Source organism: Homo sapiens, chromosome X (assembly GCF_000001405.40).
Source record: "Homo sapiens chromosome X, GRCh38.p14 Primary Assembly".
Lineage (NCBI taxonomy): Eukaryota > Metazoa > Chordata > Mammalia > Primates > Hominidae > Homo > Homo sapiens.
In genome coordinates, this window is record NC_000023.11 from 153,764,120 (window position 1) to 153,785,734 (window position 21,615).

Here is a 21,615-nt window from a genome sequence, read left to right on the forward strand (position 1 = left end):
CAGCAACATCCTGCCCTGTGCCATTGGGCAAAGGGGCGGGCGGAGAGAGGCTGGGCTGCCTGGCCGGGCTTGTTGGGATGAGTCGGACTGGGCACGATTGCATTGTGGGGAGGGAGGCTGGGGCTCTGTGAGACGTGCTCCTGGCACCGCCAGCTGCTACTTGGCCCTCGCCGGTGGCCCACCAGGTAGGCAAGAGCTGGGGCAGGCTTGGGCTTGGGCTTGGGGTGCAGGGGCTACCAGCCTCAGGGCAAGGCATCAGGGTCTCAGGGCCAACTGGCTGGGGTCAGGCAAGAGCGCTCGGGTGTCGGCCCAGCCTGACGACGGCACTAGGTGTCTGGGAGCACGGTGTCCCCCAAGTGGTAGCCCTGGGGTTAGGAGGTGGGGAACCATGTTTCTTCCCCGAAATGGGAAAGCCAACGCCAGCCTCGGGCAGGGTACAGGGTAGAGAGGCTGCCCGCCTGGCTCCCCACCCCCACAGCCACCCAACTGGCCCAGCCAGGTGACAGCAGCCCACTGCCACCTTGCCCTGGAGCCTACTGCTGCCGTGCTGTGGGGGAGGCAGAGACCCCATCCCCAGTGCACCTGCTCCTGTGCCACTGGCCAGGGTGGCCTGTGAGGGTGACAGGGGGTCTAGCTGCTAGGTGCCCCTCCCTTCCCCATCCCCTGCATGGATGGCATCTAGGCCAGCAGGACGGTGCTTCAGAGGGTGGGGTGGACAGCCCCGGCCTGTGGACCCTCTGCCTCAGCCCATCTCAAGCAGCCTCCTCCCGTGGTCCTGCTCGCTGCCACCATGCTGTACCTGGCACCACTTCACCAGTCCCCAGGGGCAGGGCTGGGCTGGGGGTGTGGAGGAAGATCTTTTGGACAAAGGCAGGCATTGAGGGCCAGGACTGGCACTTCACCCAGGCCCCAAGGCTACCAGCCGGCATTTGCAGGGGCTCCAAGGTCCACCCCGTGCCCTTCACAGGGACCCGGGGAGCCAGGGAGGGGCATGCTTAGTGACACAGGGGTTGCAGGGCCAGAGGGGGAGGGCTGGCTGGAGGAAACCCCGGCCCTTTGTCCCCGGATCCCGGGGGTGGCTCCCTGAGGGTGGGAAGTGGCAAGGAGCCCCCTGTCCAGAACAGCCCAGTGGGGGTGACAGCACTAGCGAGTGGGGCCCTGGCCTGGCCTCTGGACAGAGGGAACATTGTTGTGGTGGAGGCAGGGCTGCCTTGGCCTGGCCACTATTGACAAAGCTGCCAGCTGTGAGGGAGCCCGGTCGCTAGGCCCTGGGCGCCACCCCCACCGCCGCCCCTCCTTCCCCAGGCCAGCTCGAATGGGGCTGAGCCTCGACTGTCTCCCTCCCACTCAGGACAATGCCCCCCCGCAGCCATCTCATGCCCATCGCCACTGCCCTGGGGCAGCTGAACTGAGCGTATGTGCCACGCCGCCCAGGAGACCCCTCTGCTGCACCACTTCATGGTAAGTGCCCAGGCCCGGTGTCCCCAGAAATGTTCCTGGGAGGGGCAGGGTAGGGCAGGATGGCTGTGGCCAGGCCCAGGACATACAGGCTGCAGCCTCCCTCATGGCAGACACTGCCCCAGATAGCCCGGGGTCCGCAGGAAGTGTCCGTGCTCTTCCTGCCTGTGTTCCTGAGATAAGCGGCTCCTGGGCCTTCCTCCAGGCGCTGCTCTGCCCTGAGTCGCAGCGGCCCCACTCCTGGTCGGCATGTGACCACACACCCAGGGCAGCATCTCTCTGTGGAGGGCAGGAGGGGCCAGAGAAGGGGCTGCTCCCACCTCTCACCCTCGGGGGCTCACCCCGGGGTCCCACCAGGCACACCCAGGAACCATCTCCAGTCTGGCACCCCTCCCTGCCCCTTCCCTGACCCCTCCCCCAGCCAGCTCTCCTGGTCTGCTCTTCTCCTGGGACACTCCTACACTGAGGCCCCCTGTGCCAGGCCCTGAGAGACCCAAACTGCTGGGGCCCATGGGGCAGGAGCAGGCCTCCCCGCACCCCTGAAGCCTGTGTTGTCTCTTGACACCCCTGGCTTCTCCCAGCACCCCCGCTGCCTTGCCCCAGTGCTTCCTCGCCCTGGAGCTGGGCGCCAGCATGGAGCTCACCCCTGCCTCTTCGCTGACTTGCTCCTTGCTCAGCCCGCGGCTGCCTGGCTCTTTCCCCCAGCTGCGGAGGGTTCCTCCTTGCAGCCGGCCCTGGCTGCCCAAGGCAGGTTTTCTCTCCCTGTCTGGTCCCTTGGGGCACACGGTGGCCTCACTCCTCTCACCTGACTTAGATCTCTCTTGTCTGGGTGGTGGGCGCAGGGGCGCGCTGTGACACAGCTTCCGCCAGCCTTCCAGCTCCCGCGGCCTCCCTCCCTCCCCTGCCCTCTCTCCATCCCTGCCCCCTCTGTGACTCACAGTCCCTCTGTTAGCGCTCTTGCGGCTTTCCAGGACCTGCCCCCCTTCAACAATCTACATGCATATAAAGTAGGAGATGAAAGAATTCTGTCCTTGTGTGCTTGTGCGTGCGTGCATGCACCCCTCCCTGCCTCTTGCTCCAGCTCTTGGACACTGTCTTTGTCCCTCCTTATGTCCCCCTCTCTCTGTGCCCCCTCTGTCTCCTTGTCTCCGCTCACTCTCTCTCATTCTCCATCTCTCTGCCTCCCTCCCTCCCTGGCCCTGAGCACCCTGGCCTCTGTCCACCCCACCTTCCACCTTCCTCTGGTCCTCTATCTGCCTTGCGCTCCCACTGCCCTGACCTGTGCCCTCTCACAGGCCCCCGTGATGGCTCGCTGGCCTCCCTTCGGCCTCTGCCTCCTCCTGCTGCTGCTGTCCCCACCGCCACTGCCCTTGACAGGGGCCCATCGCTTCTCCGCACCTAATACCACTCTCAACCACTTGGCACTGGCACCTGGCCGAGGCACACTCTATGTCGGCGCAGTGAACCGCCTCTTCCAGCTCAGCCCCGAGCTGCAGCTCGAGGCCGTGGCTGTCACTGGCCCTGTAATCGACAGCCCTGACTGCGTGCCCTTCCGTGACCCAGCCGAGTGCCCACAGGCCCAGCTCACTGACAATGCCAACCAGCTGCTGCTGGTGAGCAGCCGCGCCCAGGAGCTGGTGGCCTGCGGGCAGGTGCGGCAGGGCGTGTGTGAGACACGGCGCCTTGGGGATGTGGCCGAGGTGCTGTACCAGGCTGAGGACCCTGGTGACGGGCAGTTTGTGGCTGCCAATACCCCGGGAGTGGCAACGGTGGGGCTGGTGGTGCCCTTGCCCGGCCGGGACCTCCTGCTTGTGGCCAGAGGCCTGGCGGGCAAGCTGTCGGCAGGGGTGCCACCCCTGGCCATCCGCCAGCTGGCCGGGTCTCAGCCCTTCTCCAGCGAGGGCCTGGGCCGCCTGGTGGTGGGCGACTTCTCCGACTACAACAACAGCTACGTCGGGGCCTTTGCCGACGCCCGCTCCGCCTACTTCGTGTTCCGCCGCCGCGGGGCCCGGGCCCAGGCTGAGTACCGCTCCTACGTGGCCCGCGTCTGCCTGGGGGACACCAACCTGTACTCCTACGTGGAGGTCCCCCTCGCCTGCCAGGGCCAGGGCCTCATCCAGGCCGCCTTCCTTGCCCCGGGCACCTTGCTAGGGGTGTTTGCCGCGGGCCCAAGGGGCACCCAGGCGGCGCTCTGTGCCTTCCCCATGGTGGAGCTGGGTGCCAGCATGGAGCAGGCCCGGAGACTCTGCTACACGGCGGGCGGCCGGGGCCCCAGCGGCGCAGAGGAAGCCACCGTGGAGTACGGCGTCACGTCGCGCTGCGTCACCCTGCCCCTTGTGAGTGGCATGCCCTTCCATCCCCCCTCTCTGTGGATGGCTGGCATCTTTCAGCACTGGACAGGGGTGCCTGCCCATGGGAAGTGCCAGCCAACCTCTCAGCCAGGGGTCAGCTGAGTCTCCAGGTCTCCTGCCTGCTCTCCACCCATTTCTTTCCACCTTTCTCCCTCTGGATGCTATGAGCTTGCCAGGTGCCCTGGCCCTTCGGCCCTGATTGCTGGGCCTTGGGGTCATCCCAGGGTGCCTGGCTCTCCTCCCGCTGGCAGCCTGGGTACCCCCCCTGACTGCCTCTCTGCTCTCTTCCGGGGGCTGATTCTCCACTTCCTGCCACGTAGGATTCCCCCGAGTCGTACCCCTGTGGCGACGAGCACACCCCCAGCCCCATTGCTGGCCGCCAGCCCCTGGAGGTCCAGCCTCTGCTGAAGCTCGGGCAGCCGGTCAGCGCCGTGGCAGCTCTCCAGGCAGATGGGCACATGATAGCCTTCCTGGGGGACACCCAGGGCCAGCTGTACAAGGTGAGGGCCCGGCCTTGCTGTCCGGCTGGGTGTGCCCCTGGCCACGGAGGCTCAGGAAAGCCCCCAGCAACTTCCACCTCTTAGCCCGCATCCCACGGTTGGGTCAGGGGACTTTGCCACACAGTGACTGCTGGCTGAGCACTGCCCCCTGCAGCCCGGCCTTCACCAGCTGGTGGTGGCTCACGGTGAAGGTGGCTGGGGTGGCTGGGTGAGGTGGGCAGGGTGTGGTGCCTCCTGGTGACCTTCCTGTCTCCCCATAGCTGCCCTCCCACCTGGCAGAACTGTCCCTGGTACACGGGGCCTCACCCAGGGTGCCGCTGCTGCCCCGGTGTCATGGTTCCCTGGAGAGTGTCCTAGGCCTGAGGGTGCTGAGTGGGGGAAGTGATGTGTCCTCCCTCGATGGCCCGGCAGGAAGGGGAACTGGCTCTAAAAAGGAGCCCCCACTAGGAGGAGGGCGTGTCCCTGGAACAGGCAACCTTTGGCCATCTGGCCCAGCCTCGTCCTTGTCCCCCCACTCAGGTCTTTCTCCACGGCTCCCAGGGCCAGGTTTACCACTCCCAGCAAGTGGGGCCTCCAGGCTCAGCCATCAGCCCAGACCTGCTGCTGGACAGCAGTGGCAGTCACCTCTATGTCCTGACTGCCCACCAGGTGAGGGCCATCCTGGGGCTGAAGGGGCCAGCACACGCGGCCCAAGTCTCGTGCCCATTGCCTCTCTGCTCTGCTGCCCCTCCAGGTGGACCGGATACCTGTGGCAGCCTGCCCCCAGTTCCCTGACTGTGCCAGCTGCCTCCAGGCCCAGGACCCGCTGTGTGGCTGGTGTGTCCTCCAGGGCAGGTGAGCACGGGGCCTGTGCCTAGGCTAGGGCCAACGGGTGGTGTGTGCCACGAGGCTGCCCCTGGAAGTAGCCCTAGGCGTGCCGGGAGGCCAACCCTGCCTGTTGGAGAGACTCAGGGCCACCACGGAGGTCACCCATCCTGCCCCATCTCACTGAGCCGTCAATCTGGTTGGCACCCCCCTTTTCCGACACCACCCGGCCTGTGGACTCCTCATCCCAGCAGCCCCAGCCAGGGTCCAGAACCCCACACAGCTGTCCTCCAGCCGGTGCTCCACACGGCAGCCCCTGGAATCCTTTAAGGCAGCCCTGAGTCACTGTGCGTCCCTCAGCCCAGCCGCACCTGCCTCTCAGGGCTGGAGCCCACGCCTTGGCCATGAGGCCCTGCCTGCTTGGCCCCTTTCTCTCTGGACACAGTCCCCTTCACGCCTCCTGCTCATTGCACCCCACTGCACTCCAGCTGGGCCGGCCTCCCCAGGCCCCTGTTGCCGGTCATCCTTGGAGTCTAGGACCCCCACGGTGACCTGATGGACCCCTGCCTGGCAGGTGTACCCGGAAGGGCCAGTGCGGGCGGGCAGGCCAGCTGAACCAGTGGCTGTGGAGTTATGAGGAGGACAGCCACTGCCTGCACATCCAGAGCCTGCTGCCGGGCCACCACCCCCGCCAGGAGCAGGGCCAGGTAAGCCGCCCACCACCACTGGGCCCTCTGGGCAGCATGACCACTGCCTGGAGCATGAACCCCGCCTGCCTCCCGTCCTCCTTCCTCTCCCATGGCCTCTGCTGCCCCCTCTCTCTGGCTACATCTCCCGGTTTCTCCCCGCTGCATCCCAGGTCACTTTGTCTGTCCCCCGGCTGCCCATCCTGGATGCAGATGAATACTTCCATTGTGCGTTCGGGGACTATGACAGCTTGGCTCATGTGGAAGGGCCCCACGTGGCCTGTGTCACCCCTCCCCAAGACCAGGTGCCACTTAACCCTCCAGGCACAGGTGAGTGGCCCATGGGGTAGGGGGCTGGGATGGAGGCTGGAGGGGTAATGAGCCACCTGACCTGTCCTGCCCCCACTGTCCCCTCCCAGACCACGTCACTGTGCCCCTGGCCCTGATGTTCGAGGACGTGACTGTGGCTGCCACCAACTTCTCCTTTTATGACTGCAGTGCCGTCCAGGCCTTGGAGGCGGCTGCCCCGTGAGTCCCTGGGCCTGCCTCCTGGGGTAGGGGTGGCGACCCCAGAGGGCACTCAGTTGAGCAGCCACCCTGCCCCTCTAGGTGTCGCGCTTGCGTGGGCAGCATCTGGCGGTGTCACTGGTGCCCGCAGAGTAGCCACTGCGTGTACGGAGAGCACTGCCCAGAGGGCGAGAGGACCATCTACAGCGCCCAGGAGGTGGGTGGGCCCGAACTTCGGGCAGAGACAGGGCTGTCCCTTCTCCACCCTTCCCAGACCCGCCCAGCAGTAGGCCCTTTGAGTTCTGAAGGGCTGAGGGCTCTTGTTTTCCCAGGTGGACATCCAGGTGCGTGGCCCAGGGGCTTGCCCACAGGTCGAAGGCCTGGCAGGTCCCCACCTGGTGCCTGTGGGCTGGGAGAGCCATTTGGCCCTACGCGTGCGGAACCTTCAACATTTCCGAGTGAGCCATCAGGAGGGAAGGGGACAGGGCAGTGAGGTCTGCCAACAGCGTGTCCACACTCCTGACAGCGTCCTTCCCCAGGGCCTGCCTGCCTCCTTCCACTGCTGGCTGGAGCTGCCTGGAGAACTTCGGGGACTGCCGGCCACCCTGGAGGAGACAGCAGGGGATTCAGGCCTCATCCACTGCCAGGCCCACCAGGTGAGTGGCTGCCTTCCAAACCCTCTTGCCCCCAAGCTTCCGTAGACCCTCAGGGGTCTGCCATCTTTGTGGAGAGCCTGCTTGGGGCCCATAACCTCTGTCTGTGGGCCCCAGTCTTGGGGGAGAGGCAGGGAACAATCACATTCATTCTGGGGGGTGGCCCAGAGGAGACAAGAGTCAGAGGTGCCCTGAGTGGGCACCCAGCCTGACCCCACACTCTGCCCACAGTTTTATCCCTCCATGTCCCAGCGGGAGCTCCCAGTGCCCATCTACGTCACCCAGGGTGAAGCCCAGAGGCTGGACAACACCCATGCTCTTTATGGTGAGCCTGAGGGCAGCCAGGCAGGCGGGGCAGGGTGGGTGGCAGACAGGAGGCGCTCAGCACACTGCCTGACCCTCCCTAGTGATCCTGTACGACTGCGCCATGGGCCACCCGGACTGCAGCCACTGCCAAGCGGCCAACAGGAGCCTGGGCTGCCTGTGGTGTGCTGACGGCCAGCCTGCCTGTCGCTATGGGCCCTTGTGCCCGCCGGGGGCTGTGGAGCTGCTGTGTCCTGCGCCCAGCATTGATGCAGTGAGTCTCCTGCCGGGCCCCCACAGCCCAGTGGCCCACTTCTCCTGCCCCGCACTGTCCTGTCCTCCGTGATCAGACCAGCCCTGCCCCAGGCCCCCAAACCCCAGCAGCTCGGCCTGGCTGGGCTGGTTGGCTGGCCGGGCACCCAGCACTGCAGAGTGGAGCGTGGGTGCGGGGGACCCCATCTGCCATCATTTGCCTGCTGCAGGTCGAGCCCCTGACCGGTCCCCCTGAGGGAGGCTTGGCCCTCACCATCCTGGGCTCCAACCTGGGCCGGGCCTTCGCCGATGTGCAGTACGCCGTGAGCGTGGCCAGCCGGCCCTGCAACCCTGAGCCCTCTCTCTACCGCACGTCGGCCCGGTGAGGCACTTGGAGGGTGAAGATGGGTGGGGAGGCCCTCAGAGATGGCCACCCAGAGATAAGGAAGGCCTGTGGCCAAGAAACCTGGGGCACTCGGGTCAGGGGAGGGGTGGGCTGTCCCCTCCGTCCCTGAGCCCTGAGCAGCTCCCAGGCCTCGGCTTTCCAGGATTGTGTGTGTGACATCTCCTGCCCCCAATGGCACCACTGGGCCCGTCCGGGTGGCCATTAAGAGCCAGCCACCAGGCATCTCAAGCCAGCACTTCACCTACCAGGTCAGTGGCCTCCCAGGTGTGCCCTACGCAGGGGAGGGTAGGAGGGAGGGCCAGGAAGGACAGGCGCCTAGTAAGGATGTCAAGCTGGGTCTGCGGGGAGCAGGAAGCACCGCTGCATGTCTAGGAGGGAAGCCATGGCATGTGAGTGGAGGTGGGCAGCCAGGCCAGTCTGAGGCACGAAGCTCTCAGGATCTGTTGCCCTGGGCACTTGGTGGCACCGTTTCCTGGGTGGGAAGCCTGGGACAGGAGCAGTGAGGGCAGGGGTGGGTTCTGCCCAAAGAGGCAACTGGATTTGAGAGTTTAGAGCTCCAGGTCTGGGGGCTGTAAGCTGTGGTGGGGAGGAGGCTGTCCCAAGGGGGACAGAGTGGCAGTGAGGATGAAAGAGCCCCACTTCTACTCCCCATGCGGCAGGGGTGGGTGGGAGGAAGCTGGCCAGTGTGCAGTGGCCTCGGGAAGGAGGGCGTGGTCCACTTTGGCCCCAGGAGGTGAAGTCCAGAGATGACCTGCGCTTCAGAACCGGAGGGCCTTGGGCATGGCCCAGGGGGGTGAAAGGGCCAGGCTGGGCTGCCGTGCCTACCCAGCCTGCGCTGTTCGCCAGGACCCTGTCCTGCTGAGCCTGAGTCCTCGCTGGGGCCCCCAGGCAGGGGGCACCCAGCTCACCATCCGAGGTCAGCACCTCCAGACAGGTGGCAACACCAGTGCCTTCGTGGGTGGCCAACCCTGTCCCATGTGAGTCCCGGCCTGGCTGCCGTCGGGTGGTGGGCACTCCCATAGGCCTCAGTGGGGGTGGTACATTTAGAGAAGTGGTTGCTGTGGCCACCCCCAGTGGTCCCTGCCCTTGTCAAGGCAGGCAAAGCAGGGCTTCTCCTACGGGGGTTGGGCCAGGGCTGGGGTAGAGGGGTGGTAGAGCCGAGATGAGAGACCCCACTACCCATCCTGCAGCCTGGAGCCAGTGTGTCCGGAGGCCATCGTGTGCCGTACCAGGCCCCAGGCTGCCCCAGGAGAAGCAGCGGTCCTTGTGGTCTTTGGCCATGCCCAGCGCACACTGCTCGCCAGCCCCTTCCGCTACACCGCCAACCCCCAGCTTGTAGCGGCGGAGCCCAGTGCCAGCTTCCGGGGGTGAGGGTCAGCCCGCAGGCCAGCCTGTGCACCACGCAGGAGGGAAGGTGGGATGCGGGCTGGGCTATGTTGCCCACCGCCCGCCCACACCCGACTGCCATCCTGGTACAGGGGTGGGCGACTGATCCGTGTCAGGGGCACCGGCCTAGACGTGGTGCAGCGGCCCCTACTGTCTGTGTGGCTGGAGGCTGACGCAGAGGTGCAGGCTTCCAGGGCCCAGCCCCAGGACCCACAGCCAAGGAGGAGCTGTGGAGCCCCTGCTGCGGACCCCCAGGCTTGTATCCAGCTCGGTGGGGGGCTGCTGCAGGTGAGCCCCTCACCAGCAGGCGACAAGGCTGTCCCCGACCATGCCCATGCCCAGTGGGGAGGAGGAGGGTAGGCCGCCATGCCCCTAGCAGCGCACAGCAGAGCCCAGCTCACTCCACCTGTGGTCGGCCCTGAATGCCCCACAGTGCTCCACCGTCTGCTCCGTCAACTCGTCCAGCCTCCTCCTGTGCCGGAGCCCTGCTGTACCAGACAGAGCCCACCCGCAGCGGGTCTTCTTCACCCTAGACAACGTGCAAGTGGACTTCGCCAGTGCCAGTGGGGGCCAGGGCTTCCTGTACCAGCCCAACCCCCGCCTGGCACCCCTCAGCCGCGAGGGGCCTGCCCGCCCCTACCGCCTCAAGCCAGGCCATGTCCTGGATGTGGAGGTGAGGGCCACCTTCAACCCTGCCCCGCCACGGTGCTCAGGCCGCCTCTGTGGGGGCCAGCGGCTTAGGCTCCCATGTGTGTCCCAGGGCGAGGGCCTCAACCTGGGCATCAGCAAGGAGGAGGTGCGCGTGCACATCGGCCGCGGCGAGTGCCTGGTGAAGACGCTCACGCGCACCCACCTGTACTGCGAGCCGCCTGCGCACGCCCCGCAGCCTGCCAATGGCTCCGGCCTGCCACAGTTCGTGGTGAGTCCGTGCCCTGGGTGGGCAGGTGGACCGGGTGCCGCCAGCATGCACTCAGGAACCCTGCCCGCCCCCCAGGTGCAGATGGGCAATGTGCAGCTGGCCCTGGGCCCTGTGCAGTACGAGGCTGAACCCCCGCTGTCTGCCTTTCCCGTGGAGGCCCAGGCAGGCGTGGGCATGGGTGCTGCAGTGCTGATTGCCGCCGTGCTCCTCCTCACCCTCATGTACAGGTGAGACCCGCCCACCCCCAGCACACTTCCCTCCTCGCCATTGGCAAGGGCGCCCTGGCAGGCGGCTGGCCTGGCCCCGGCCCTGGCTGATGCTGGCCCCGGCCCTGGCTGATGAAGCTGGCCCCGGGCTGCAGGCACAAGAGCAAGCAGGCCCTGCGGGACTACCAGAAGGTGCTAGTGCAGCTGGAGAGCCTGGAGACCGGCGTGGGAGACCAGTGCCGCAAGGAGTTCACAGGTGGGTGCGGAGGCGGGGGGACAGGGTACCCACGAGGCCTGAACTCACACCTCGGCGCCTCCTGGCCCCGCAGACCTCATGACGGAGATGACCGACCTCAGCAGCGACCTGGAGGGCAGCGGGATCCCCTTCCTGGACTACCGCACCTACGCCGAGCGCGCCTTCTTCCCTGGCCATGGCGGTTGCCCGCTGCAGCCCAAGCCTGAGGGGCCAGGGGAGGACGGCCACTGTGCCACTGTGCGCCAGGGCCTCACGCAGCTCTCCAACCTGCTCAACAGCAAGCTCTTCCTCCTCACGGTGAGGGCCGTGTGGCGGGAGTGCCCAGTGGGCAAGGAGGTGGGGCTGGGGAACTACTGGCCTGAGACAAAGGTGGGGGAGGAGTGGGGCTTCCCAGGATGAGCCTCCGACCCCTGCTCAGCTCATCCACACCCTGGAGGAGCAGCCCAGCTTTTCCCAGAGGGATCGCTGCCATGTGGCTTCGCTGCTGTCGCTAGCGCTACACGGCAAGCTGGAGTACCTGACGGACATCATGAGGACCCTGCTGGGTGACCTGGCGGCCCATTACGTGCACAGGAACCCCAAGCTCATGCTACGCAGGTTGGCCTTGACCTGGACCCGGTGGCGGGGGTGAGGGCTTGCCACAGACCTGCCCCCATCGCACCCTGGGCGGGCTCTGTCCAGGGGCGGGTGGGGCCAGGAAGCCCCAGCAGGTGGGGGGAAGGAAAGTGAGATGTCCTCAGCAGGGACACAGGCACAAAGGCCTGACCCTGTGGCCGGCTCCCCGCAGGACAGAGACCATGGTGGAGAAACTGCTCACCAACTGGCTGTCCATCTGCCTGTACGCCTTCCTGAGGGTGAGGGGCACTGTCCCGCCTGCTCCCAGCCCTGAGTGGCAGACTCCTCCCCTCTTGCCATGAGGGGGCTACTGCCTGCGCCCTACGTGACGAAGGCCCGGCAAGGGGGGCTTTGGAAAGGGAAGGACTTTGAACCCTCTCCGGGGCTGGAGACGAGGCAGAGGCGAGAAGGGCTATCATCAATCCTCCCTCGCTTGGCTGATGCCGGCTCATCTTGGCAGTGCAGGAGGTGGCTGGTGAACCACTGTACATGCTCTTCCGGGCCATCCAGTACCAGGTGGACAAAGGCCCCGTGGACGCCGTGACAGGCAAGGCCAAACGGACCCTGAATGATAGCCGCTTGCTGCGGGAGGACGTGGAGTTCCAGCCCCTGACGCTGATGGTGCTGGTGGGGCCCGGGGCTGGCGGGGCCGCAGGCAGCAGCGAGATGCAGCGCGTGCCAGCCCGGGTGCTCGACACGGACACCATCACCCAGGTCAAGGAGAAGGTGTTGGACCAAGTCTACAAGGGCACCCCCTTCTCCCAGAGGCCCTCAGTGCATGCCCTAGACCTTGGTGAGAGAGCCAGCCCTGCCCACCCACCCCAGGGACCCTTCCCTACCCCTCCGGCACCTGGAGCCCCTCAACTGTGTCTTACTATGAGTGTGGGGCGTGGAGAGCAGGCTGTAGACTATCTGCTTCCCTGACTCCCTCCAGAGTGGCGCTCAGGCCTGGCTGGTCACCTGACCCTATCGGACGAAGACTTGACCTCCGTGACCCAAAACCACTGGAAGAGACTCAACACCTTGCAACACTACAAGGTGTGAGCAGGGACGGGGCGAGGCAGGGCGGGGCTGGGGCGGGGCAGGGCGAGGCAGGGCAGGGCGGGGCTGGGGCGGGGCGAGGCAGGGCGGGGCTGGGGCGGGGCGAGGCAGGGCGGGGCTGGGGCGAGGCGGGGCAGGGCGGGGCTGGGGTGGGGAGGGGCGAGGCAGAGCAGGGCAGGGCTGGGGCGGGGCGAGGCACGGCAGGGCGAGGATGGGGCGGGGCGAGGCAGGGCGGGGCTGGGGCGGGGATGGGGGGCGGGGCGGGGCGAGGCAAGGCAGGGAAGGGCAGGGATGGGGTGGGGCAGGGTGAGGCGAGGCAGGGCAGGGCGGGTCTGGGGCGGGGAAGGGCGAGGCAGGGCAGGATGTGGGCGGTGTAGGCGCCTGGCTAGGGGTCAGCACAGCCTCCGCTCCCCATCTCTGCCAGGTCCCAGATGGAGCAACAGTGGGGCTCGTCCCTCAGCTGCACCGTGGCAGCACCATCTCCCAGAGCCTGGCCCAGAGGTGCCCCTTGGGAGAGAGTGAGTCCCTCGGCCCTGACCTGGGGCCACTGGAGTCCAGGCTGGGCAGGCAGAACTCCTGGCCATGCATCTGCCTCAACTTCATCCCCCACCCCACCGAGATCTTCTGCCCATCTCCTTCCTTTCTTCCAGTCCCCACACTGCCCCACCTTGTCGGGGGAGTGGACTGGGCATCCCAGGCCAGGGGCAGGGGGTATAGCCCTGAAGCCAGGCTCCTGTGCCCTCAGACATACCCACGCTGGAGGATGGCGAGGAGGGGGGGGTGTGCCTCTGGCACCTGGTGAAAGCCACCGAGGAGCCAGAAGGGGCCAAGGTGCGGTGCAGCAGCCTGCGGGAGCGCGAGCCAGCAAGGGCCAAGGCCATTCCGGAAATCTACCTCACCCGTCTGCTGTCCATGAAGGTTGGTGCGGCCTGGGTGGCTGGGCCTGAGAGGAGGCTCAGCCAGGGACCCCGACCGAGCCAGGGTGTGGGAGGGGCAGGGGCAGCCTCAGCCGTGGATGGCCCCCACACCCTGCCCTCCACACAGCCCTTATCCCCTGCCTCGCAGGGCACGCTGCAGAAGTTTGTGGACGACACCTTCCAGGCCATTCTCAGCGTGAACCGGCCCATCCCCATCGCCGTCAAGTACCTGTTTGACCTTCTGGATGAGCTAGCAGAGAAGCACGGCATCGAGGACCCAGGGACCCTGCACATCTGGAAGACCAACAGGTGCCTTTCCTGCTGCCCCACCCCTGCTGTGCATATGGTCCACTGAGTCCCAGAGAGACCAGGACATTCCCAGGGTGGATGCGCCCACCTGGGGTTTCTGGAACTTACAGGAAGATCTAGGGCCCAGGTCACCTAGGCCACCAGGCCAGCTTCCAGCGGCCCCTGGCTCCGAGTGTGTTGCCAGTAGGCTGGAGTACATGGGGCGGAGATCACGATGGCAGGCCAGGGCCTCACGCCCACGCCTGCCCTGCGCCCCCAGTCTGCTGCTGCGGTTCTGGGTGAATGCCTTGAAGAACCCACAGCTCATCTTTGATGTACGGGTGTCGGACAATGTGGACGCCATCCTTGCTGTCATCGCCCAGACCTTCATTGACTCCTGTACCACCTCGGAGCATAAAGTGGGCCGGGTGAGAGCAGTGCCAGCAGCAGCAGCTGGCAGGGGCTTGAGGAGGAAAGGCTTATGGGGGAAGCCTAGAGGGCTGTGCACAGAGCTCTGGGTGGGCAGTGGCAGCATCATGGGGGCACCTTCACCTCCGAGCTCATGCCTAGCGCCTCCCCTCCCTCCGGAGCAGGATTCCCCAGTGAACAAACTGCTCTACGCCCGGGAGATCCCACGCTACAAGCAGATGGTGGAGAGGTGGGTGTCAGAGGCATCGGGGCTGCGGGGAAGGGGGCTGCCCCACCCCTAACGAAGTCTGCTCCTCCAGGTACTATGCGGACATTCGCCAGAGCTCTCCGGCGAGCTACCAGGAGATGAACTCTGCTTTGGCTGAGCTCTCCGGGGTGAGGCATGGCCCGGGGGGTGCGCCTGTCCACACGTGGGTGGAAAGACTAGCAGAGCAGAGGGGGGAGACTTGGGGCTTGAGGACCAGGCTGGGACCTCACTGCCCCCCTCCACGTGGTGCCCCCAGAACTACACTTCTGCTCCCCACTGTCTGGAGGCTCTGCAAGAACTCTACAACCACATCCACAGGTACTATGATCAGGTGAGGCCCAGGGCACTCCGGAGGGGAGGCACAGTGGAGCGGGAGGCCCGTGGACCCTCCCGGGGGAGCAGGGGTGCCAGCCCATGCTGGCGGGGCCCAGGCTGGGGAAGGGACTCGGCTTTCATTCTGATTCCCCAGGGAGACGCCAGGCAGCCCCTGCTGGATCCCCAGGCTCCTGCGGTGATGGAAGCAGGGTGGGTGGCCCTGGGCCAGCAGGCAGAGGGGCAGGCTCAGACAGGCACCCTCCTCTGCCCGGGCAGATTATCAGTGCCCTGGAGGAGGACCCTGTGGGCCAGAAGCTGCAGCTGGCCTGCCGCCTGCAGCAGGTCGCCGCCCTGGTGGAAAACAAAGTGACTGACCTGTGAGCTCTGGCTCAGACAGCAGCAAGCCGGATCCACCAACACCGCAGCGCCTTATGACCCCGGAACCGAGCCAGCCACTGAGGGGAGCTGGCAGAGCCTGGGGGCACAGGGTGCAAAGCCAGGCACTGTGCCCAGCAGTGGGCTCCCTGCCTGCCACCTCCCCTGCCAGCCCACCCACCTTCCCCCCACCTGAGATTGTTTCTAATTTATAAGGATCCCCCTCCTTCCCCCTCTCCCCATTGTATTTATTTGCCTGCTGGAAAATCACATCCGGAAATAAAATAGAAATATGTCTTTTTATTTTATTTTGAGACGGAGTCTCGCTCTCTCTCCCAGGCTGGAGTGCAGTGGCGCAATCTCGGCTCACTGCAACCTCTTTTTCCCGGAGTTCAAGCAATTCTCCTGCCTCAGCCTCCCGAGTAGCTGGGACTACAGGCGTGTGCCACCACACCCGACTAATTTTGGTATTTTTAGTAAAGACAGGGTTTCCCCATGTCGGACAGGCTGGTCTCAAAACTCCTGACTTCAGGTGATCTGCCCGCCTCAGCCTCCCAAAGTGCTGGGATCACAGGCATGAGCCACCGCGCCTGGCCAGAAATGTCTTTTGACAAAGGGCCCAATCCCCAGCCCCTGCTGTTCCCTGCAGGAGCTGACTCAGTGCTCTCCTGACTGAGAGTCCCTCAGCCCCATGCCTATAACCTGCTACCCACAGACAAAGAGAGGCCATCAGGTACCCGGGCTTCACTTTCCCTCCCACTCTCTGACCTCGCTGGCCCCTCCAGCAATGCCTGGCCCACCCCTACCAGTTCACGGACCCTGGTACAGGGACACTGCACCAATATCTTGGGACAAACACCCTCTCTGCCGAGCCCCCTCCCTTTCATTGGGACTCCTCTGTCAGGCCCCAGCTGGCCTCCCGGCTCCACCCTCGCCTCTCCATTCCCTTGTCCTTGAAGTGGCCAGAGTGATCTTTTGCTGAGCAGAAGCTCAGTGACCACCCCCCAACCCCATATCACCCAAGCTCCACATTAAGCCTACAGACACCAGGCCTCTAGTCCTCGCCCTCGAACCATGCGGCAGCCGTGGCCAGCACGTGAAGGGCTGGAACGCGTCTTGGCCGCAGGCCTTGCCCCACTGTGCCCTGTGCTGCCCTGGATGCTTCTGGGGACCCAATTTCTCCTGGTCTCTCATGATGCAGCCCCTGGGTCACAGGCCCCTCAGTCACCACCGCACTCATGGGGAAGTGGCTATGGGCTTGCTTGTCCCCAGCAGTGAGCAGCTTCCTGCTGCCTCCCTCATGTCTGGCTATGGAGCAGCCCACGACAGGCACCTTGCAAATGGTGGAGAGGAAGAGCAGGCGCTGGGAGCCAGAGCGCCAGGCAGCGTCGCAGGAGCAGGTTCTGGGCTGGCAAGCTCCCAGGCCTCCCCTCAGCAGGCCTGTTGCCTCTGGTAGGGGAAATGAGGGGTCCCCAGTGACGCCACATTCAGAGGGCACTGGACTCCCAGTTGTCCTAGGGGCTGATGAAACATAGAAGAAGCAGGAAGTGGCTGGGAGCAGCCAGGGACAGGGTTCCCATGGGAATGAGAAGGGCACCTCCAGGAGGATGCCCACAGGGGCACAGGTGGTGGGGGCTTGGCCTAAGGACCAGGTTGCCAAGTGGAGCACATCCCCACAGTCCGCACCGGAGAACGGGAGCCCGACCTGGGGTACGGGCTGCTTCACCCCCGCGTGGACCTCCCCCTCAGCTGGGGTGCGGAGGCTCAGCCTGGGGGCCCAGTTGCCCCTGGTCCCCAAGCAGCAGCCCCCTCTGCCTCCAGGGTGGGCCTGGAGCAGGAGGGGGGCCTCTGCCCGGGGGCCGGGCTCTCTGGGGCCGCCGTCGCGCCGCCCCCTCCCCGCACCGCATACCTTGCCCACAGCCGAGCAGCTGGGAGGCTATTTATAAAGGCGGGTGAGATCAGCGGCCGGCCAAGGCTATAAATTCGCAGGCCGCGGCCGGGCCCCACAGGAGCAGCCGCCCGGGGCACCGGAGCTGCGGGCTGCGTGGCCGGGATGAGCGCCAGCACGGGCGGTGGTGGGGACAGCGGCGGCAGCGGCGGCAGTAGCAGCAGGTAGGGCTCGGCTGGGGCACCCGGAGCCCCTGGCGTCTCTCATGCCCACTGCCACTCACCCCACCCGCAGCTCACAGGCCTCCTGCGGGCCCGAGTCCTCGGGCTCCGAACTAGCCCTGGCCACACCGGTGCCTCAGATGCTGCAGGGCCTTCTGGGCTCCGACGACGAGGAACAGGAAGACCCCAAAGACTACTGCAAGGGTGAGACTTGGCCTTGGGGACATGCGGCCTCACGGCCACTGCAGGGACCCAGGGCAGTCCTGGGCCCACATGGGCCAGATGGTCAATGGGGCCGAGGTGTTCGGGGGCCCAGGGGAGTGAGAACCCCCTCCACCCCAATCTACATCTCCCCTGGGCAGGCGGCTACCACCCTGTGAAGATCGGCGACGTGTTCAATGGGCGGTACCACGTGGTGCGCAAACTGGGCTGGGGCCACTTCTCCACCGTCTGGCTCTGCTGGGACATCCAGTGAGTGCCTCCTTCGCCTCCGGGGCCCAGCACTGGCTGGGATCCTGTCCCTGGGCTTGCTTGGGGCCACCCTGATCCCCGCCGTGGGTCCTGCCAGGGCCACAGCCTACAAGGGTCTCGGTATTGCAGGCGCAAGCGCTTTGTGGCCCTCAAAGTGGTGAAGAGTGCGGGGCATTACACGGAGACAGCTGTGGATGAGATCAAGCTCCTGAAATGTGTGAGGCACCTCCCTACCCCACTCCCAGCTCCCCTGGAGCTGCCTGGGGCCTGGCAATGCGGGTGCAAGGCCTGCCGGGGCTCTGTGGGGCAGGGCGGGGCTCCCTGAGGGGCAGCCTCCAGCTGGCTGTGCCCAAGGGGGAGGATCTGGAGGAACAGGCGAGGGACAGGAGGGGTTGGCGGCCTTTCTTCCAGCAGGGCCCAGCTGGAGCAGGAGAAGGGTACACTGAAGGGAGCTGTGGGCTTCAGGGCAGGGTGGAACCATCTGTGGCCCCTTGGCTTTTGCTCCAGGTCCGGGACAGCGACCCCAGTGACCCCAAAAGAGAGACCATTGTCCAGCTCATTGATGACTTCAGGATCTCAGGAGTCAATGGAGTCCGTATCCTTTGCAGGAAGAGCAAAGCAGTGTGGCAGCCAAGGGCCGGCAAATGGGGGGGCCCTCGCTGCTAGAGCCTGTCTGCAGACCCGCACAATGGGCTTGCATCCCTCCCAGTAACGGGAGCCTCTGGCACGACCCCGCCCCCAGGTAACTGTGTTTACGTGGAGGCAGTAACAAGCTAGCGTTGATTGTCCATGGACGTTGCTATTATCCCCAAACGGCAGGTGCTGTCTCTGTGGCACTGCCTTCCCTTTGGGGGACTGCCAAGAGGCCCTATGGCATAACTAGCATGGGAGTGGGCTGGCCCGAGAGGCCTCTGTGCCTGCTCCTCCAGCGCCACCTCTAGGATGACCACAAAATGCACCATCCCAACTGGCATACCTGTTGAGACTGACAGGGACACTATCGATGATGACACCAGCATAATGGTGACCAGGACTGCCCAGGGGAGGCCCTGCCTCCCCACCTCCACACGGCCCAAGCCTTGCTGCTCCCCTAGCTGAGGGTGGGTGGGGCCTGTGCCGCAGCTGGTGTCCACTGGCCGCCCTTCACTCCCAGCCCAGATGTGTGCATGGTGCTGGAGGTGCTGGGCCACCAGCTCCTCAAATGGATCATCAAGTCCAACTACCAGGGCCTGCCCGTGCCCTGCGTGAAGAGCATCGTGAGGCAGGTGAGTGCCACCCACTGGGCTGCCCAGCCTGGCCTGGGCGGGAGTTGGAGGAGGTCAGGTGCGACTCTCTGCAGGTGCTGCACGGCCTGGACTACCTCCACACCAAGTGCAAGATCATCCACACGGACATCAAGCCCGAGAACATCTTGCTGTGTGTGGGGGACGCTTACATCAGGCGCCTGGCTGCCGAGGCCACGGAGTGGCAACAGGCAGGGGCGCCGCCCCCCTCCCGCTCCATAGGTACCAAGGGCCCACATGGGGCTGGGTCGGGGCCTCTGGGCCTGAACCCCTGCCTGAGTCTCTGTTCCTCCCTGTCCCCCCCCACCGCTCCCCACCTGCACTCCCAGTCAGCACTGCCCCCCAGGAGGTCTTGGTAAGTTGGGGGGCCCCTCTCTCCCATGCCTCCTCTCCCATCTGAGCCAACTGGAGGCCATCTCTGGAGCCACAGTGGCTCCACCCCCCACCTTCACGCACTCCCACGGTGGTAATCCCGAAAGGCTGGGTGGCTGGGCTGACGGTAATTCCCGGGGGGGGTCAAGTGCCCCAAACTGCTCTTGGTGAAAGGATGCTGTCTTCCCCGAATGGCCACTTCCGCCTGCCTTAGCTTGGGCTGAGAGGGGACAGAGAGCACCCTGAGGCGGGCCGGCCAGGTCTTCCCACTCCTAATGGAGCTGTGGGGAGTGGGGCCACAGGCGGGGAGGCAGGGAGAGTAGTGAGTAGCTGGTGCCAAGGGGCGCTGGCGCCACATTCTGGTGTCCATGGGAGCCCTGGGGCCCGGAGAGGCCTCTTCCCTGGCGGCTGTGCAGGGAAACCTCCACTTCATGCTGACTGGGGCGGGCGACAGGAACCCTGGGGTGACCCTGGCTCTGACAGCAGACCGGTAAGCTGTCCAAAAACAAGAGGAAGAAGATGAGGCGCAAACGGAAACAGCAGAAGCGGCTGCTGGAGGAGCGGCTGCGGGACCTGCAGAGGCTGGAGGCCATGGAGGCTGCCACCCAGGCTGAGGGTGAGGGGCCACAGAGGGTGATGGGCCGTGGAGCGCAGCAAAGGCTGCAAGACATCTGCTCAGCAGCTGCCTCCACCCCGTCTCCCCAGACTCTGGCTTGAGACTAGACGGGGGCAGCGGCTCCACATCCTCTTCAGGCTGTCACCCCGGGGGCGCCAGAGCAGGTCCCTCCCCAGCCTCTTCCTCCCCCGCCCCAGGGGGCGGCCGTAGCCTCAGCGCGGGCTCACAGACCTCAGGCTTCTCCGGCTCCCTCTTCTCTCCTGCCTCCTGCTCCATCCTCTCCGGCTCGTCCAATCAGCGAGAGACCGGGGGCCTCCTGTCGCCTAGCAGTAAGTTGGGTGGCAAGTGGTGGGCAGGCAGGGCTGGCAGTAGTCGGACCACTTCAGTCTCCCTGCTCTGCCTTCCCCAGCACCATTCGGTGCCTCGAACCTCCTGGTGAACCCCCTGGAGCCCCAAAATGCAGATAAGATCAAGATCAAGATCGCAGACCTGGGCAACGCCTGCTGGGTGGTATGAGCAAGTGTGGGAGAGCAGAGTGGGGGGCCCTGCTCCAAGGGTGGAGGCACAGGGCCGCTCTTGGGGAGCCCTACCCCAGTCTGCAGTGCACGTGAACCGTCGGCTGGGTGGGCACTGGTCCTGCCCAGTCAACAGCACTGGGGCCATGGCCAAGGGCAGGGGCCACTAGGAAGGGATCAGCCTCAGCCTCACATCACTGGGCCTGTCCCTCTTGGAGGACCTGGGGACCCCGAGGCTCACAGCAAACCCCACTGAGCTCCTCGGGTAGGCGGATCGGGGTGGGGCAGGAGTCCGTGGGGGCAGGACAGCCTTGGCCCCAGCCCGTCCCCAGGGCTCCCCTTGCTTCCAGCACAAGCACTTCACGGAAGACATCCAGACTCGGCAGTACCGGGCCGTCGAGGTGCTGATCGGCGCCGAATACGGCCCCCCGGCAGACATCTGGAGCACAGCCTGCATGGTACGCCCGCCCGGGCTGCCCTGTGCCCAGGGCCAGCAGCCCACCAGCCAGCAGCCTCACCTCCTCCCCCTTCCAGGCCTTCGAGCTGGCCACTGGTGACTACCTGTTCGAGCCGCATTCTGGAGAAGACTACAGTCGTGATGAGGGTAAGGGGTGAGGGCTCTGGGCTCAGCCTCCCGGCCTCCCGGCCTGCCTGCCCCCAACCTCCTCTTTCTGCCCACAGACCACATCGCTCACATAGTGGAGCTTCTGGGGGACATCCCCCCAGCCTTCGCCCTCTCAGGCCGCTATTCCCGGGAGTTCTTCAACCGGAGAGGTGAGGGCCCGGGCAGCCTCAGGCCATGTGGCTGCAGGGAGGGTGGGACGGGGACCTTGGATTCTGCAACAGAGGGAACACTGGGTCCCAGGAGCCAGGGCCTAAGCAGAAGGCAGGTCCAGAGACAGGGACAGAGCCTGACGCCCGCTGGCCTGCCCGCAGGAGAGCTGCGGCACATCCACAATCTCAAGCACTGGGGCCTGTACGAGGTACTCATGGAAAAGTACGAGTGGCCCCTAGAGCAGGCCACACAGTTCAGCGCCTTTCTGCTGCCCATGATGGAGTACATCCCCGAAAAGCGGGCCAGTGCCGCTGACTGCCTCCAGCACCCCTGGCTCAACCCCTAGGCCCGGCTGTGGCTCCACCTCCAGCTCTCCGTGCCTTAAGGGAAAAGCGGGACAGCTCCCACCACCCTGCTGGGCGCCAGTTCTCCACAACCACAGGGCAGAGAGACGCTGGAGCCAGGCCCGGCTCTCAGAGCGTGTTCTGCCTGAGACCCCCGTGAGGGCTCTCGGAGAAAGTGTGTGTATTCCTTTCTTAATAAAGTGTGGACTGAACATC

General features: G+C 65.6%; 2 protein-coding genes and 2 long non-coding RNA genes across 16 annotated transcripts in view; 2 read left to right on the top strand and 2 right to left on the bottom strand.

The window, feature by feature from the left end:
- Positions 1-2,352, bottom strand: part of PLXNB3-AS1 (PLXNB3 antisense RNA 1) — a 31,620-nt gene extending 29,268 nt beyond the window's left edge. For all 10 annotated transcript variants that reach the window (NR_199693.1, NR_199694.1, NR_199695.1 and 7 more), the window contains exon 1: positions 2,264-2,352. This is a non-coding gene — a long non-coding RNA (PLXNB3 antisense RNA 1). The remainder of the gene's footprint in view (positions 1-2,263) is intronic.
- On the top strand, positions 130-15,222 carry PLXNB3 (plexin B3). 2 transcript variants are annotated; one of them, NM_001163257.2, is made up of 37 exons: positions 130-185; positions 1,352-1,461; positions 2,040-2,205; positions 2,754-3,794; positions 4,130-4,309; positions 4,829-4,957; positions 5,043-5,143; positions 5,688-5,820; positions 5,973-6,129; positions 6,219-6,327; positions 6,409-6,523; positions 6,639-6,764; positions 6,846-6,962; positions 7,191-7,284; positions 7,367-7,536; positions 7,745-7,896; positions 8,063-8,168; positions 8,767-8,897; positions 9,111-9,287; positions 9,399-9,594; positions 9,740-9,979; positions 10,067-10,225; positions 10,301-10,452; positions 10,587-10,687; positions 10,761-10,984; positions 11,106-11,284; positions 11,475-11,541; positions 11,768-12,095; positions 12,237-12,340; positions 12,768-12,861; positions 13,089-13,261; positions 13,409-13,569; positions 13,829-13,976; positions 14,142-14,206; positions 14,277-14,352; positions 14,481-14,555; positions 14,816-15,222. In NM_001163257.2, exons 3-37 carry the CDS (start codon positions 2,092-2,094, stop codon positions 14,918-14,920), a joined length of 5,799 nt encoding a protein of 1,932 aa, NP_001156729.1. In that variant the 5' UTR covers positions 130-185; positions 1,352-1,461; positions 2,040-2,091; the 3' UTR covers positions 14,921-15,222. The 2 variants fall into 2 exon arrangements, with proteins under 2 accessions (NP_001156729.1, NP_005384.2); NM_005393.3 differs by lacking the exon at positions 2,040-2,205.
- Positions 15,195-20,088, bottom strand: LOC124905227 (uncharacterized). Its single transcript, XR_007068355.1, has 2 exons — positions 19,997-20,088; positions 15,195-19,644 (listed from the first exon to the last, which is right to left on the bottom strand). It is a non-coding gene; the product is annotated as an uncharacterized LOC124905227 (long non-coding RNA).
- Positions 16,922-21,611, top strand: SRPK3 (SRSF protein kinase 3). 3 transcript variants are annotated; one of them, NM_001170761.2, is made up of 16 exons: positions 16,922-17,026; positions 17,097-17,227; positions 17,386-17,494; positions 17,624-17,711; positions 18,002-18,089; positions 18,653-18,759; positions 18,834-18,999; positions 19,107-19,132; positions 19,636-19,765; positions 19,855-19,902; positions 20,002-20,094; positions 20,175-20,275; positions 20,631-20,738; positions 20,815-20,884; positions 20,962-21,054; positions 21,217-21,611. In NM_001170761.2, the coding sequence occupies exons 1-16, from the start codon at positions 16,968-16,970 to the stop codon at positions 21,399-21,401; spliced, it is 1,602 nt and encodes a 533-aa protein (NP_001164232.1). In that variant the 5' UTR covers positions 16,922-16,967; the 3' UTR covers positions 21,402-21,611. The 3 variants fall into 3 exon arrangements, with proteins under 3 accessions (NP_001164232.1, NP_055185.2, NP_001164231.1); NM_014370.4 differs by having other exon boundaries at positions 19,633-19,765; positions 19,855-20,094; NM_001170760.2 differs by having other exon boundaries at positions 19,855-20,094.